Source organism: Homo sapiens, chromosome 2 (assembly GCF_000001405.40).
Source record: "Homo sapiens chromosome 2, GRCh38.p14 Primary Assembly".
Taxonomy (NCBI): domain Eukaryota; kingdom Metazoa; phylum Chordata; class Mammalia; order Primates; family Hominidae; genus Homo; species Homo sapiens.
The window spans coordinates 43,150,112-43,166,663 of NC_000002.12; the positions used below are offsets into that span (position 1 = coordinate 43,150,112).

At 53.3% G+C, this 16,552-nt stretch overlaps 4 annotated features.

The window, feature by feature from the left end:
• Positions 2,725–2,873: a silencer, noted in NCBI's record as "fragment chr2:43379975-43380123 (GRCh37/hg19 assembly coordinates)". NCBI's record gives its function as "represses an EF-1alpha promoter that drives an FKBP-Casp9 reporter gene in an ReSE screen in phorbol 12-myristate 13-acetate-treated (for megakaryocytic differentiation) K562 erythroleukemia cells {active_cell/tissue: K562(+PMA)}" and the evidence as "EXISTENCE:reporter gene assay evidence [ECO:0000049][PMID:32094911]".
• Positions 7,663–8,181: an enhancer, noted in NCBI's record as "H3K4me1 hESC enhancer chr2:43384913-43385431 (GRCh37/hg19 assembly coordinates)". NCBI's record gives its function as "activates a minimal SCP1, AML or CMV promoter by ChIP-STARR-seq in primed H9 embryonic stem cells {active_cell/tissue: H9 hESC(primed)}" and the evidence as "EXISTENCE:reporter gene assay evidence [ECO:0000049][PMID:30033119]".
• Positions 8,396–8,591: a silencer, noted in NCBI's record as "fragment chr2:43385646-43385841 (GRCh37/hg19 assembly coordinates)". NCBI's record gives its function as "represses an EF-1alpha promoter that drives an FKBP-Casp9 reporter gene in an ReSE screen in HepG2 liver carcinoma cells {active_cell/tissue: HepG2}" and the evidence as "EXISTENCE:reporter gene assay evidence [ECO:0000049][PMID:32094911]".
• Positions 8,439–8,508: a silencer, noted in NCBI's record as "silent region_11418". NCBI's record gives its function as "represses an Ori minimal core promoter by ATAC-STARR-seq in GM12878 lymphoblastoid cells {active_cell/tissue: GM12878}" and the evidence as "EXISTENCE:reporter gene assay evidence [ECO:0000049][PMID:35858748]".

Sequence of the window (16,552 nt, forward strand, 5' to 3'; positions counted from 1 at the left end):
CTGTATCCCCGATCCTTAGCACAGGGCTTGGCACTGAGTTATGCTCAGTAAAGATCTATGAAATGCAGCTGAACTGCATGGCACACTGGAGTCAGGTGAGCCTGCTCTGGAATCCCACTTGTGCTCTTTACTAGCTGTGTGACCTGGGGCAAGTTGCTGTCCTATTCTGAGTTCAGTTTCTTCATTTCTAAAAAACAAACAAAAAAATGCATAAGAAAACCTAGCCTGTGGGGACATTCTGCAGATTGAATGAAATGAAGTGGGTAGGGTGCCTCAGCTTGAGGCAGGAGGGCAGCGAGAGAAGAGGCCACGGGCCACGGGCAGAGCAGGAGCAGTGTCTGCCTGGGTGAGAGGGTGCTTGTCGGGAGGAGGAGAGGGAGGCTGTGCAGGCAAGGCTGCCTGCTGGACAGAGGACTTGGAGCTACCCTGGGAAGCATCTGTAGGGAGCCATTGTAGGTTCTACAGCAGGGGAGGGACCAGAGGATGGGAGGTGGCTGGGATCCCCTGGTTGCCACCATCTTCCATGGCTACAGCCTGGACCCCACATGTGCTTATTGCTCCTTCCTCCCTCTGTGCACCCCTAACTCAGTCCAGGGAGTGCACAGAAGAAGAGGAGCCAATAAAACACATTTAAAAAAATAAGTCATTATTATTACTTTAATTTGACTTCTAGGCACCTTCTTATTCAAGACACAGTTGTGGCTGGGCTCAGTGGCTCACACCTGTAATCCTAGCACTTTGGGAGGCTGAGGCAGGTGGATCACTTGAGGTCAGGAGTTCAACACCAGCCTGGCCAACATGGCGAAACCCTGTCTCTACTAAAAATACAAAAATTAGTTGCGTGTGGTGGCATGTGCTTGTAGTCCTAGCTACTCGGGAAGCTGAGGCAGAAGAATCATTGGAACCCAGGAAGCGGAGGTTGCAGTAAGCTGAGATTGCACCACTGCACTCCAACCTGGGCGACGCAGAAAGACTGTCAAAAAAAAAAAGAGACACAATTGCATTTCACAGTGAAAAACACAAAGCCTCTCCAATGTATTCACACACATTTAGAGCAGAATTTGATTCCAATACTCTAATCAATGAACATCTAGCAAAGTGTGGTGAATATTACTGATGCAGTAATGGGAAAATGCTAAAGTAACAGTCTGAATAGTTTTGTGCATCCTGAGTTTTCTGAACTAAGACTTTTTTTTTTTTTTTGAGATGGAGTCTCTCTCTCACTCTGTTGCCCAGGCTGGAGTGCAATGGCGTGATCTCAGCTCACTGCAACCTCCATCTCCCAGCTCCAAGCAATTCTCCTGCCTCAGCCTCCTGAGTAGCTGGGATTACAGGCACACACCACCACACCCGGCTAATTTTTGTATTTTTAGTAGAGACGGGGTTTCATCATATTGGTCAGGCTGGTCTCGAACTCCTGACCTCATGATCCACCCGCCTCGGCCTCCCAAAGTGCTGGGATTACAGGCATGAGCCACCGTGCCCGGCGACTTTATTTTTAATTAAAAGCAAAACTTACATTTTCTTTTCTTTCTTTTTTTTTCTTTTCTTTTTCTTTCTTTTTTTTTTTTTTTTTTTTTTTTTGATGCAGAGTCTCACTCTGACATCCAGGCTGGAGTGCAGTGGCATGATTTTGGCACACTGCAACCCCGGCCTCCCAGGTTCAAGCAATTCTCCTGCCTCAGTCTCCCTAGTAGCTAGGATTACAGGTGCCCGCCACCAGGCCTGGCTAATTCTTAGTAGAGACAGGGTTTCACCATGTTGTCCAGGCTGATCTGGAACTCCTGACCTCAGGTGATCCACCCTCCCCGGCCTCCCAAAGTGCTGGGATTATAGGCATACAGCACCTCGCCCAGCCAAAACTTACATTTTCAAAAGAAGTTTGCCTCTCCAAAAAAACCAGATTAGATAGCTTCTAAACTATATTAAATAAGACCAAATAAAGATTTTAATTATTATCAAACAAAAGTGAGTAATTCGGGGAAACATCACCTCCACAAATGTCGAGCCAATTCAGGTGTTGCTGGTAGAATCCTAAAGAGTGATGTCTCTGGTTCCTGTGAACAATGTCCACAGTCCACACCCCTCGAGGACACAGCTCAGCTCCCACCAAGGGACCATGGCTGGGAGGAGAGCAACAGAGCGTGATCCCAAGGCCGCAGTACAGCTAAGGGCTCTCCAGAACCTGGGCAGGAAGCCCTACACTCTGCCCTCCTCACTGGGTGATGTGGATGCCTCTGAGCTGCGGCTTTCTCCCTTCTAGTGGAATAACAATTGCTGACCTCACAGAGTTGCTCTGAGGATGAAAGGAGAGCATACACGCAAAGCACTTAGCATCATGCCTGCTAACAGATCAATGCACGACTGTTATTAACTCAGAGCAGTGACAAGGGCGAGAGAAGATCAGGTAAATAGGACACACGGTGCAGAGAGTGAGGGAGTGTCAGAGGCAGGGGAGGGCAACACCCAGGCAGCCCTAGCTTCTACCTACCTGGACTATCCACTTGCAGCCAGGGAAGAAGACCCCATGGAAGGAGGGGGTGATGGAGGGGCTCAGATATTTGATAAGATGGGAGGTCATCCTTGATCTGCTTCCCTCCTCCCCTCTCACCTCCAACCCTGCCTGGCCCACTTCTGAGGGTGATCAGGCAGGGCACACCATGGGCCAGCGGAGCCTTGGAGGGTTCCAGAGCTGTGCCTCCCACACAGGGGCTATGCTGGGAGGCAGGAGGTAGGGCTGCAGGTGTGAGGCAAGGCAGCTGGGATTCCCCCATCGATCAGCAGGAACCCAGGCACACCCCACCCCGGTTACCTGGGGGCCACAGGCTGCTCCATTTGAAGTGTGGGCTCTCTCTGCAGATAGGCCAGCCGGGCCCTCCCTAGAGGCTAGGCACCTGAGCAGGTATGGGATAGGGATGGGGGTGGGTGCGGGGATTTGCAGGCTGTCGCTTCTAAAAATAGAGCCCCGCAGCCTGGGAGCCAGCCAGGTGTGGTTGCCACACAGCCTCCCAAACTGGCTGATAGGCACATGTCAATTCTGGGCCTGCACAGGCACACAAACTCCTTGGCACAGAACCCAGTGGACACTCCTATCCACCAAAGACAGACACTTGAGTCTGAACACCCATGTCCTGACTTAGACCTGGCCCTGTTCCTGTACAGGCCCCTTCTCCACAGGCTCTCACCATCCTCACACTCACTCACACTCCCTGACACTCACAGGCCCTGCAGCCTCCTAGGTCTCCCTGGCTGGGACATCTGCCTCCTGGGGGCAGGGGCCATTGGTTTTGTTCACTGCTATCTCTCCAGTGCCTGCAATGGTGTCTGGCACGTGCCAGTGCTCAGGAAATGTTTGTTCTATAAATGAATGCCACACACACTTGCACACACACACACAGACACACATTCCATGATTAATTACCCCACCCTCACCCCCCCCACCCTGGCGCTCTGAGTTCTCTGAGGCCCTGGAGGGAGCGGCACCTGGAGGTCTGTCCCTCTCTGACCAGGTGAGCCCCTCGAACCCATTGTCCAGGCAAGGGAGGGTGGGAGGTGGCCCAGGGAAGCAGAGCTTTGGGAAGCAGCAGCTTTGAGCCTATGTGTGGAAGGTGAGCGGGGATCCTGGTGTTCTACAGGAAGAACCTCCCGCGGGGGCCACAGCACCATGCTGAAATTCTGAGTGGGAAAAGGTCTGGCTGGGTCCATGTCATGGGTAATCCCTTTTGGGAGAAAGCCCGGGTTTCCCACAGGCTGAGCCTGGCTGCAACAAATTGAGACCTATGAGTAGAGCATGTGGTGGCCGCAGAGCCCATGGGTGGGTGGTCAGGGAGTCCTCCCTGGAGGAGAGGAACCTTGTCCAGGTGAGAGACAAGAGGACCATCTGGGAACAGGACTGAAAGGGGAATCTGAAGCTGTTGGTGTGATTATTTCAGGACTGGCAAGGATGCATCAGATCTGTTTTAGGAGTTCATGACACCCTCCAGAGTGAGGCAGAGGCGCACCGGGCAGGCTCACACACTAGGGATTGGGCAGGCCCAAGTTGCAGCCACAGGGGCTATTGAGGGGCCAGAGTGAAGCCCCTGATCATAGCCTGCATCAGACCACTCAAGAATGAGGTGCCTGGGGGAACAGGCAGGTGACGGAGGGGACCAGAGACAGACAGGGGGCCAATGGGAGGCCAAAAGGATAGACTAACAGATGGACTGAAAGATGGAGGAAGACAGATGGACAAACAGACTAACAGATGGACAGAAAGGCAGAGGAGGACGGACGGACAAATGGATAGACGGATGGACAAATGGATAGACTCACAGATGGATCAAAAGGCAGAGGAGGATGGACGGACAGACAAATGGACAGACTAACAGATGGACTGAAAGATGGCTGAGGACAGACAGACAAATGAATAGACTAACAGACCGAAAGGTGGAGGAGGATGGACGGACAAACGAATAGACTAACAGACAGACCGAAAGGTGGAGGAGGACAGATGGACAAATGGATAGACTAACAGATGGGCTGAAAGGCAGAGGAGGATGGATGGACAAATGGAAAGGCAGAAATGGGTGGATGAAGGAATGGACATTTGGAGTGGGGATGGATGGAGGTTGGAGAGGCAGGGAGAGAGGGCTGCTGGACCTTTATCCCCACAGTCACCCTCAGGAGCCTTAAGACCCAGCTACTCCCACTCCAGAACTCCCACCCCTGCACATCCCCGGGCCAGGCTCCAGGGAAGCCAACGCCTGCTTGGCCTTGTGCCCAGAGATGCACATTCCAGCCAGGTATGATCCTGCTGCTGTTACTACTGCAAGCCCAGATGTGGAATCACCTCCAGATGTTCTCACCATAGCAGCTGTGCCTAGGATGGGATTGGGGTAGGCTGTATCTACGGACTAATACTCGTCAGCCCTCCAGCACCTGGGGAGTGCCCCAATCATGGCAGACACCTGCACCACGCACACACACACACACACATACAATGGCTGAACCACAGCCCACAGACACTCACTGACACACACAAATGGGCACAGTCACTAATGCCCAGACACCAGGCCCCAGATGCCACAGAGATGCCATGTTGCACAACTCCACAATGAGCCAGTCATGTGGTCTGCATTGTATGGGGTAACCTGGACCCTCAGACCCACCCAACACTCATGCTGTCATTAACTAGCCAAGGCTCACTGAACAGCTCCTGGACCAGGCCTCGTGGGATGACAGGAAAGTCACCTTCAATCTCTGGATATTTGAAGTTGCACCTTCAAGGGCTCCTTCCAGAGGATGCTGGACCCCTGAGCCTGCCTCACAGGGCCCTTCCTCATCTCAGCCCCAGCCCTGCCTCCTGCCCTGCCCTCCTCCCATTAGCCCTCCCTTCGGCCACATTTCCCACCTTGGGCAGGCTTTCCCTTTTCACTGTGCCTTGGTGCACACAATGCCTGCAGCCAGGAATCCCTTTCTCATCACAATAAGCCCATCCTTCAAGACAGAGACGTCTGTGTACCTCCACTTTAATGGTGTGACATGCAATAGGGCCTCCAAAAATGTTTGTTGACTGCCTGACTGACTGACTTGCTGGATGAAATCATTAGAAGTGTAAGTTAGCTCAGAATTAGTGCCAGACAGACTGGCCTGGACTTGCTGCTATCAGTTCTAGTCAGAGCAGGAGAGCGCCCATGGATTGGAGGATTTTGAGCCCCCATAAGCACACACATGTGACTACAGCCCCCCTGGAGTGAGTCCTGCACCCTCGTACCCTCCACATGCCATGGAAAACATGCGCCACTGCCCCGTGCCAGGCCTGGACACACAGCGAGGGCTGCGGGAGGGTCTCAGCCACGGTCAGGGGCTCCCAAGCTCCTCTTCCCTCTACCCACTGACACCTAAGGAAGCCCCAGGCACTTTTCTAGAGCGTTCTTTGGGGCTGGGGAGTGTCAGGGCAGGCCCTCTGCCAACTCAGCAGGCCGGGGACTTTGGATGTGCTGACACTGGCTGCCCTGACACACCCTATGTGGGCCCAGTTGGCCAGAGCTCTGGCCGGCCTGGGCCTGGGCCTGGCAATAATCGATTGACTGACATGGAATTCCATTCCTTCAGCAAGGACCAACCACACCTGCATAGAGTTGACGTAAGGCCCGTTTCTAAACACTTCATTTATATTTGCTCATTTCATTCTTGTAATGACCCTGTGAGGTAGATACAGTTCTGATGCCCATTTCACAGTTGTGGAAACTGAGACACAGAGACAGATAAACTGACTTCACACCATCAAAGCAGTTAGGAGTGGGCAGTCACGGTCCACACCCAGGCTATGGGGTCTGGAGTCTGCACTTTCCTTTTTTTTTTTTTTTAAGATGGAGTCTCACTCTGTCACCCAGGCTGGAGCGCAATGGCGTGATCTTGGCTAACTGCAACCTCCGCCTCCCGTGTTCAAGTGATTCTCCCACCTCAGCCTCCCAAGTAGCTGGGATTACAGGCATCCGCCATCATGCCTGGCTAATGTTTGTATTTTTGTAGAGATGGAGTTTCACCATGTTGGCCAGGCTGGTCTTGAACTCCTGACCTCAGGTGATCCACCCGCCTCAGCTTTCCAAAGTGCTGGGATTACAGGCGTGAGCCATGGCGCCCAGCCTGGAGTCTACATTTTTTTTTTTTTTTGAGACAGAGTCTCGCTCTGTTGCCCAGGCTGGAGTGCAGTGTCGCGATCTCCGCTCACTGCAACCCCGCCTCCTGGGTTCAAGCGATTCTTCTGCCTCAGCCTCCCGAGTAGCTGGGATTACAGGCACATGCCACCACGCCCAGTTAGTAGAGACGGTATTTCAACATATTGGCCAGGCTGGTCTCAAACTCCTGACCTTGTGATCCGCCCACCTCGGCCTCCCAAAGGGCTGGGATTACAGGCTTGAGCCACCACACCCGGCCTGAGTCTGCACTTTCAACCACTACACTCTACCATGTCTCTTCTTTAACATTTTTTACAAACAACAACAAAAAAAGTGAGGCTGGGCATGGTGGTTCTTGTCTATAATCCCAGCACTGTGGGAGGCCAAGGTGGGAGCATCACTTGAGGCCAGAAGTTTGAGACCAGCCTGGGCAACATGGTGAGATTCCCATCTCTACAGAAAATTCATGCCTGTGGTCCCAGCTGAGGTGGGAGAATCACTTGAGCCCAGGAGGTTGAGGCTGCAGTGAGCTGTGTTCGCACCACTGCACTCCAGCTGGGTGACAGAGTGAGACCCTGTCTCAAAAAAGAAAAAGAAAAAGTAATATTACTTGCACCAGGCAGCCTTTGGCATTAGGGGCATGGACATGTGACATTCCAGGTCCCTTCCAGCCCTGTGTCTCACTCGCGCGCACACTCCTACCTGCCTCATCCTGATGTTGCCCATTGCATCCCTGTGACCTCCCGGTTCCTCCACAGCCAGGCATTGGCTCGTGGGAACTCGGTGCTCTCGGGTTTGGGTCCCAGTAGATTCTGGAACATCCCACCCCACGCCTGTCCTTCCCTGCCACCCCTGCTCCGCCCCAGGCCAGCATTCCTGGAAAGTTCAAAGGCACTTGGTTCAGGGGAGATGTTTCCACACAGCTTCTGTAGCTGGAACTGGGCTAGGCAGAGAGGGGGCCCACCCACAGCCCCACAGGGACTGCATCTTGAGACCAGAAAACTTGGAGTGGCCCTGGGGGAGCAGTGCTGTTCCCATTCTCTGTGGCAGGGGCCTTGGCAGGTGCAAGACCCAGAGTGTCCCCCCACAACCTGAGGGGGCTGCTTCTGGACACAGAGAGCTCAGGCCTCAAATGCATCTTTTCACTAGCCTTCCTGGGTCCTGCCCATTCCTAGAGACGGAGTTCACTATGCTCCTAGCCATGTGCTGGGTGCGGGGCGAGCCCCAGATGGCTCATCGCCACGAGGTGCAGGCACAGCCTCTCCATGAGCCATCAGGAACTCGGGGTTGCATCAAATCCCCAAAGACTTTACTGGGCCCACGCTAGGCATCAGCCTGGGATTCTCCTCCCAGGTCTCCACCAGCTGCTGAGCACAGCGGAGGTGGGGAGGCAAGAGCATGTCCTATCCTGCCTCCTGGCCCCCAGCCCCAGTAACACAGAACTAGGGTGCCTATTGTTTCAATGGCAGAAATCCCCCTCCCCTCCGACCCCTGCCCCCTGCAGCACTGCTCCCCATCACTGGGCTAAACGAATGACCCGCCACTCAGCAGGTGACGACTTACTCCTCCTTGGCCGGCCCTTCAGCTCCTCCTCCTCACCCATCCTGACTCAGAGGCCTGTCAGCTGCCACTGCCCCCGAGGCCTGGCAGATTTGGGTGGGAAGGAGCTATCTGGGTGCCAGGACCTGAGGGGCTGGCCATGCCCTCACTCCTTACTGACCTGACCTTTAGCAGGGCCTCTGAGCATTCTCTGATCTAGAAATGCCACATGTACACGCATGTGTGTGCACACACACACAAACACCCACACACTCACACCCAGCCGCTCTATGACCTGATGAAACAGTCTGGGTGCAGGGCTGAGGCAGGCCAGGGAGGAGAGTTAGACTGAGCAAAAGCAGGATGTGTGTGGAGCAGCCTCCTGGCCTCTCTCCCGCAGAGGCACTTCCTGGTACTGGAGGGCAAAGCGGCCCGGGGTTGGGAAAGAGACCGGTGCTGCTTGCTCCCTCTCCAGAACAGGCATTAATTCTGGCTGCCCCTTGGTATTGGCCTCCAACTTTATAGTTCTCTCCCTTTCTTTCTCTCTCTCTCTCCTACACACACCCCTCTAGACTCCTCCCCTGCACCTCCTCAAAATTTCTCACCCACCCTCACCCCACAGAAGGAGCATCAAAGCCCCACATAGCCTCTGGCCTCTCTCAACACCTAGGAGTTGAGATCAGGCCCTTGTGGCCCAGTCTTGGGGACTTCCCCCTACCAGGGTTGGCCCTCTTGGGTCCACGCCTCTTTGGCTAGACTTCTGATCGCTCTGGCGGCCACTCCGCAGTTTCACCACGCCTGCTCCTGCCTGCAACACACAGAAGTTGGCAGTGACTCTGCACTGCTCCCAGCACCCCGGATGGCTCAGGGCTGTGGCATTTTGTTTTCTTTCGTTTTTCGCCTTCATGTCTGTGCTGTTCACTGTGCCTGAAATCCCCTCCCCGCTAACCCTCCTGCCCATAGCGTCAGTGGCCCACATGTCAGCACCCAGCACTTACCACTAGCGAGGCTGTGTCCTATCCTCCTGACCATGCCAATGAAAAAAGTCCCATTAATTATACCCACTGTTGGCCGGGTGCGATGGCTCTCACCTGTAATCCCAGCACTTTGGGAGGCCGAGGCAGAAGGATCACTTGAGCTCAGGAGTTCAAGACCAGCCTGGGCAACATGGCAAGCCCCATCTCTACAAACAATGCAAAAATTAGCCGGGTGTGGTGGCGTGCACCTGTAGTCCCAGTCCCAGCTACTTGGGAGGCTGAGGTGGGAGGATCACTGGAGCCCTGGAGGTGGAGGTTGCTGTGAGCTGAGATCACGCCACTGCACTCCAGCCTGGGCAACTGAGGGACCTTGTCTCAAAAAAAAAAAAAAAAAAAAGATACCATTGTTCAGAGGAGGAAGCTGAGCTGACAGAGGTCAAGGAAGATGCATTTCTACCCAGCTTTCAAGATTCACTTTGGACATCACCTTCCTCAGACTCTGCCTTCTCCTCTTCACCGCCCCACTACGCCCCAGGCAGGAGAAACTGCTCCCAGCCTAGAGCCACTGCCCGTTGTAGTGACTTCTGTTTGAGGCTGAGACCTCAGCCCCCAGGTCCTGATTTGTGCCCTCCTCCCTCAGTTTTGGGGCCTGTGAGAGTGGGTGGCTGGGCCTGGGGCTGAGTCACTGCCTAGCCTTGCCTGCCCAGCCCCGAACCAGGCAAGCCTCGGTGCAGGTGACCCTGCTGCCCAGAGAAGTGGGCGGCAGGAAGAATGGTCAGGCCCTCCTCCTTTTTCTCCTCCCTCCTACTCACCCACCTCCTGGCCACTTTCCTCCCTTTTTTTTCTTTTTTTGAGATGGAGTCTCACTCTGTCGCCCACACTGCAGTGCAGTGGCACAATCTTGGCTCACTGCAACCTCTGCCTCCCAGGTTCAAGTGATTCTCCTGCCTCAGCCTCCCGAGTAGCTGGGACTACAGGCATGTGCCACCATGCCCAGCTAAATTTTTGTATTTTTAGTACAGACGGGGTTACACCGTGTTAGCCAGGATGGTCTCGATCTCCTGACCTCGTGATCCACCCGCCTCAGCCTCCCAAAGTGCTGGGGTTACATGGTTAAGCCACCGCTCCCGGCCCCTCCCTGTCTTTTCACACCCACTTCTCTCTCTGCCCAACCCTGTCTACACCCTTCCTGCCAGTTCCCAGGAAAAGTGACTTGGACTTTGCTGATGGGAAGCAGAATCTGGGCTAAAACTAGGACAGGAGCAGGGCTGGTTCCTCCAGCAACTCCCCCAGCTCGAAGGAGGCCCAGCCTGAACCACATCGCCAGGAGCCCTGGCTCAGCACTGGGGGTTACCTATGGGCGGCCACTTCAACTTGTGTGTGTGTGTGTGTGTGTGTGTGTGTGTGTGTGTGTGGTGGGCAGGGCGGGGGAGATGTATATTGATGAGGGAGGGGAAATGGACCATTGGGCCCCAGCTTCAACGCCACATTTATTTACTGGGCACTGAGTTAAAAATAGACCTGAGTGCCCCTAGTGCAGGCTGCAGATAGGGAGAGGGATTCCAGGACCCCTGGGAACTAGCTATGTCTCAGGGCCTCCACATGACCTCCCTCTCCCTGAGGGGTGGATCTGTGATTCTGCCGAGTGTCACACACACCCCTGTGTTACTGGGTGGCACCAGGGCAATGTTTTGTGCACTTCACAGATTACAGTGTTGTGTCGCAGAAGAGCATGGACTTTAAACCTAGACGGGATCCCAGCAAGGGATGACTGCACACCTGCCCCACTTCTGGCCTCCATTTTACAGAGAGGGAGACTGCGGCTTAGGGACAAATGACCAGCTCAAGGGCATGCAGAACCAGGCTGGACTCGGGTTCCTTGGCTCCCAATTCTGGACTTTTTTTTTTGAGACGGAGTCTCGCTCTGTCGCCCAGGCTGGAGTGCAGTAGCGTGACCTCGGCTCACTGTAACCTCCGCCTCCCGGGTTCAAGCGATTCTGCTGCCTCAGCCTCCCGATTAGCTGGGACTACAGGTGCCCGCCACCACGCCTGGCTAATTTTTGTATTTTTAGTAGACACCTGGTTTCACCGTGTTGGTCAGGCTGGTCTCGAACTCCTGACCTCATGTGATCCGCCTGCCTCCGCCTCCCAAAGTGCTGGGATTACAGGCATGAGCCACCACACCTGGCCCCAAGTCAGGACTCTTTCCACTGTGTTATATGGCACCCATCACATTGGATTCTGTTTTATTCCATCTTGTTTCATGTTATGTTATATAATGCAGGCAGAGGGGTGGGAGGTAGCGGTTGGAGGTGGAAAAGTGGCCAGAAGGTGACAAAAAAGCAATAGGCTAAGGTCCAGGCAATGAGCCCACATCTTCCCCCACCTGAGATTTCTCCTCCATCAGGTGTAGGGGGCGTGGCTCACCCCGGCACCCAGTGCCCTAATTAGCTCCTGTTGACAGTTTCTGGTTTATGTGTTATCACCTTGAGCCTGCTTATCTTTATCAGAGCCAAAGGTTGATTGGGGCATTCTGGCCAAAGCTCAAAGCAACTCCACTCCAATTTCACAGGGCATTTATGACTACTGTGAATAATAACCCTCTTTCCTCAAGATAGCAGCCTGATCCATTCAGGACCTTCCCTGCAGAGTCCTTGGTGTGATCCTTACCATCCTCACCAGGAAGACAGCACAGAGTCCTTCTCCCATTGGCTGGGGAGAAAAGCGATGCACAGCCCCAGGGTGAGCTGGCCGGGGACCCAGGTCTCCTGAGCCCTGTCCTCAGCACCCAGCAGCAATGCCCCGGCTCTGGAACCTGACAAAGTGAGACCTCCCTACCAGGGCCATGGCCCCCGCTTCTCCAGCCTCGCTCGCCGGGACAAAGGTTACGGGCCTTATCAACCAAGGAGGTAGAATATTAATCTGGCCATCTATGCCCCAGCCCTGACCCGCATAGCAAAGCCGCCATCATCCAGGTGGTGGGAGTATCTGTGCATCGGGACAGAATGAGGTGGGGCTATGTAAGGGGCCCCCATGAGGGCAGGGCCCTGCACATGGCCTTTGTGGCCGCTGGAGGGGCTCACCCTAGGTCTTTTCCCACATCAGCCTTGGAGCCACGACCTCAGGTTCTCACCAGCTCCCCTCTGAGCCCCAGGAGAGATATCTTGTCTGAGAAGTGACCCAAACCCTTCCTGACCCCTGATATTCCTACTTGGACCCCCTTGGGGGCAGTGGCCAGAGGGTTTGTCACTGTCAGAGCAGACCTGGGTCCTACTCCCAGCTCTGCCATCATCTCCATCCTTGGTACCCGGGGCAAGCCACAGCACGCACAGACCTCAGCTGCATCACCGGTAAAATGGGAGTAGACTTTGATCTGTCCCAGAATACCCTCCTTCCCTGGAGATGTGGTACCTGAGTCTGGGTGGCGACCCCTCCCCATCTGCATAGATACACCTGGAACAGGATCCAGGCCCCTGGATGTCACTCTTTTGTGTTTTACACTTCACTGGCCTCACTTATGGCCACCTAAACCCCTTAGCTCCTGGGCCAAGTCTTCAGGGACTCCAAGGGAGATGGAGATGCCTTGCAAGGATGTCTTTGGAGACCTCAATTGGGACAGGTCCCTGCCTGGCAGTTGTGTGTGTGTGTGTGTGTGTGTGTGTGTGTGTGTGTGTGTACACCCACCCTCCCGAGGCATTGTCTAGAGGGGGCATTGTCCAGAGGGCTGGGCGGTTGCCTTTATGGCCAGGCATAAAAGGTAATCATTGACCACATCAATGCCGCCCTGCGCGTCAGTGCCCGCCCAGGCTCGACCCTGCCAGGCCCTGGATTACTTTACAGTCACATAAAAGGAGCCTCCAGACTGGCCCCTGGGGACTTTGGCCCTCAAGGGGCAGTGGGAGGGGAGCCGTTCCCTGGAGACAGCCTTTTCTTCTAATATTTACTTGGCCAGAGAAGAGCCCCCGCCTTTTATCAAACACCACTGGGATGTCTCAGCTCAGCCTGCCTAAGTCACAAGAGTCCCCGTCACCTGGTGCAGCTCCTCTTCCCCTCCCTTCTCTGCCTCTCCTGTCAGGACCCACCAGCAGCTTGGACGCACCCAACAAGGCTCTGCCCAGGCTGGAACTCAGACACATCTGGGAGGCACAGATGTGTCTGAGTTTTATCCAAGCTTTATCTCACCAAGGCCCCATAACCTCATGAGGTAGGCACCAAGATAATTCCCGTTTTATAGGCAGGAAAACTTGAGCTCAGAGAGGCTGAGTGACTTGCCCAAGTCACACAGCCAGTAAACAACCAACTTCAACAACTCTGCACAGCAGTGGTTTCCAGACTTGTTTGATTATGTTCTGCTATCAGGAAGAAACAACTCTTGGCACACACCTTCAGGATAATTATGCTTCCACAAATCATATACATGTGTGACTGAAATCTGTGTATTAAATGTTAGCAAATATCTGCACTCCTATTCTCATCCCATCATTCAAACCAGATCATTCAAACAGAACACACTCCCCAAGTCTCCATTCCAGCCAGGCCATCTCAGCAAAGAGACAAGGGGGGAACTGGGCCGAGCTTAGAAGGAAAAGCAGGCCTCAGGCAGAAGGATATATTTGGGAAAGGGCATTCCAAACACAAGGAACAACTTGAGCAAAACTGAAAACGCAGGAAATGGGCTGGGCTGGACACGGTGGCTCACGCCTGTAATCCCAGCACTTTAGGAGGCCTAGGCAGGAGGATCACTTGAGCCCAGGAGTTTGAGACCAGCCTGGGCAATATAGTGAGACCCCATCACTACAAAAAAGTAAAAAAAAAAAAAATTAGCCAAGTGTGGTGGCGTATGCCTGTAGTCCCAGCTACTTGGGAGGCTGAGGTGGGAGGATGACTCGAGCCCAGGAGGTTGAGGCTGTAGTGAGCAGTAATCACTCCACTGTACTCCAGCCTGGGCAAAAGAGAGAGATCCTCTCTTGGGGAAAAAAAATTTTGATGCAAACAACAACAAGAAAAACCAGTAATACATGCATCATAGATATTGTAGATCCGACAGAAGGGGAGAATTGGAAAACTGCGTGATTCAATATCTGGCACACAGCAGGTGCTCAGTAAATGGCAGTTGCTGTCATTATTAGAATGCTCCATTCTCCCTGCTCTGCCTAAAGAAACCGAACTAACCCTTTGATATCTAGTATCTCTAGTTCAGACTTCACTTTTGAGGATGTCAGTAAACATACCTCCCCTGGGCTTGCCTAGCTCTGGACTCACAGTGGTAATATAGCACTTAGCACATCATGTGATGGTCACTTGCATATATGTCTGTCCCCCCAGCCACCTATCACTTCTGTGCTCCTGTACTATTATACACACTTAGTGGGCCTGGAAAGCTTCCTGTGACCTGGTTCGAAGTGGCAGAAAAAGAGAAATAACATTAGAAGAGAAAGGGAAAAAGGAGGAAGAAACAGCCGCGTATTTCCGGGCACTTTGCTAAGCTCTTCACTTGTGTTATTTAGTGCATAATCTCATCACTAGGTAATCTCTTCAACCCAATGAGGTAGGTGTATCAGTCAGGAGACGCTAGTTTATGCTGCAGTAACAAACATCCCAATGTTTTGGGGGGTTCGTTTTGTTTTAGAGACAGGGTCTCGCTTTGTCGTCAAGGCTGCAGTCTGGAACTCCTGGCCTCGAACAATTCTCCTGCCTCCCGAGTAGCTGGGACCACAGGTTTGCGCCACCATACCAGGCTAATTTTTTTATTTTTTGTAGAGACAGGGTTTTCCTATGTTGCTTGGAACACACAAATCCTAGGCTGCTCTCAAACTCCTGGGCTCAAGTAATCCACCTGCCTACACCTCCCAGCGTGCTGGGATTACAGGCATGAGCCACCGGGCCTGGCCCATCCCAATGTTTTGGTGGCTTAAAACAGCAAAGATTTATTTCTGTCATGGCAAATGAGCACTGCAGATGACTTGGAGGATCCTGAGCTGTGTTGTGCTAGCCCAGAGACCCGGGCTTAAGGAGGCTTCATATCAACAGCATTGCAGATGATCACACGGTAGCAAGAAGGGGCTATGGGGATTCACACATTTGCTCTTATTGCTGCTACCTGGAAGGGAGATGTATCCATTCTACTCACATTTCTTTGGCCAAAGCAACTCACATGGCCACACTTACTTCAAGGGGGTAGTGAAGTTACCAGGCGAGTGAAGTTACCAGGTAATGAAGTTGCCAGGCCTGCACCCCCAACTCTGTGTCATGAAGGCCACCATCCCCAGGTGTGCTAGCAGCCACTCCAAACTGTGCCACCCAAAGCCCCCTTGTGGCAAAGAGTGGACCCTACCCCTCCAAAGGCTGTCCATCTCCCCTTTCCCTGGAACACTCCCCCCATAGTATCAGCACACAAGAATCTGGGTCAGTCCTTATCTTCTAGCAAAACTGAACTCATCAAGGAATCCAGCCTTGACTTTGGTTAAGCATAAAATCACAACCATATTTCACAGACACGGTGGGTCCGGCAACCAGCAAGGGGGGGCGGTGGAGAAAACCAAGGACAGCTGGCTTGGGGTTGGAATGCGATTTTTTATCAAATAATCACATGCTATGTGCAGGCTGGGATCACACGCTTGAGGTTGCACCACGAAGAGAGTCTGCCCCATGTGTTTCCCAGCACCCATTACCTGTTTTTCCCATCATTGCTTAAAAAGGAGATTCTGTGGGCTCTGAAGGCAAGTCAGCTATGGTACGTGTGTGTGCAAGGGACGGTCAGCCAGAGAGGTGCAAACCCACAAGGAGAGCCTCTTGGGAACACAGCCCCTGCTGGTCCCTGGAGAGGGAAGGACAGGTTTCTGTCTAGCTTCTGAGTCCAGGTTTAAGAAAAGCCTTGCAGGCTGGGTGTGGTGGCTCACGCCTGTAATCCCAACACTTTGGGAGGCCGAGGTGGGCGAATCACGAGGTCAGGAGTTCGAGACCAGCCTGGCCAACATGGTGAAACCCCGTCTCTACTAAAAATACAAAAAAAAAAAAAAAAAAATTAGCTGGGTGTAGGGGCGGTGCCTGTAATCCCAGCTACTCGGGAGGCTGAGGCAAGAGAATCGCTTGAACCCATGAGGTGGAGGTTGCAATGAGCCGAGATCATGCCACTGCACTCCAGCCTGGCAACAGAGTGAGACTCTGTCTCAAAAAAAAAAAAAAAAAAAAAAAAAAAAAAAAAAGAAAGAAAGAAAGAAAAGGAAAGCCTTGCACACTTTGGGAGGCCGAGGCAGGTGAATCACCTGAGGTCAGGAGTTCGAGACCAGCCTGGCCAACAATGGCAAAACCCCGTCTCTACTAAAAAAAATACAAAAGTTAGCTGGGCGTGGTGGTGCACACTTGTAATCCCAGCTA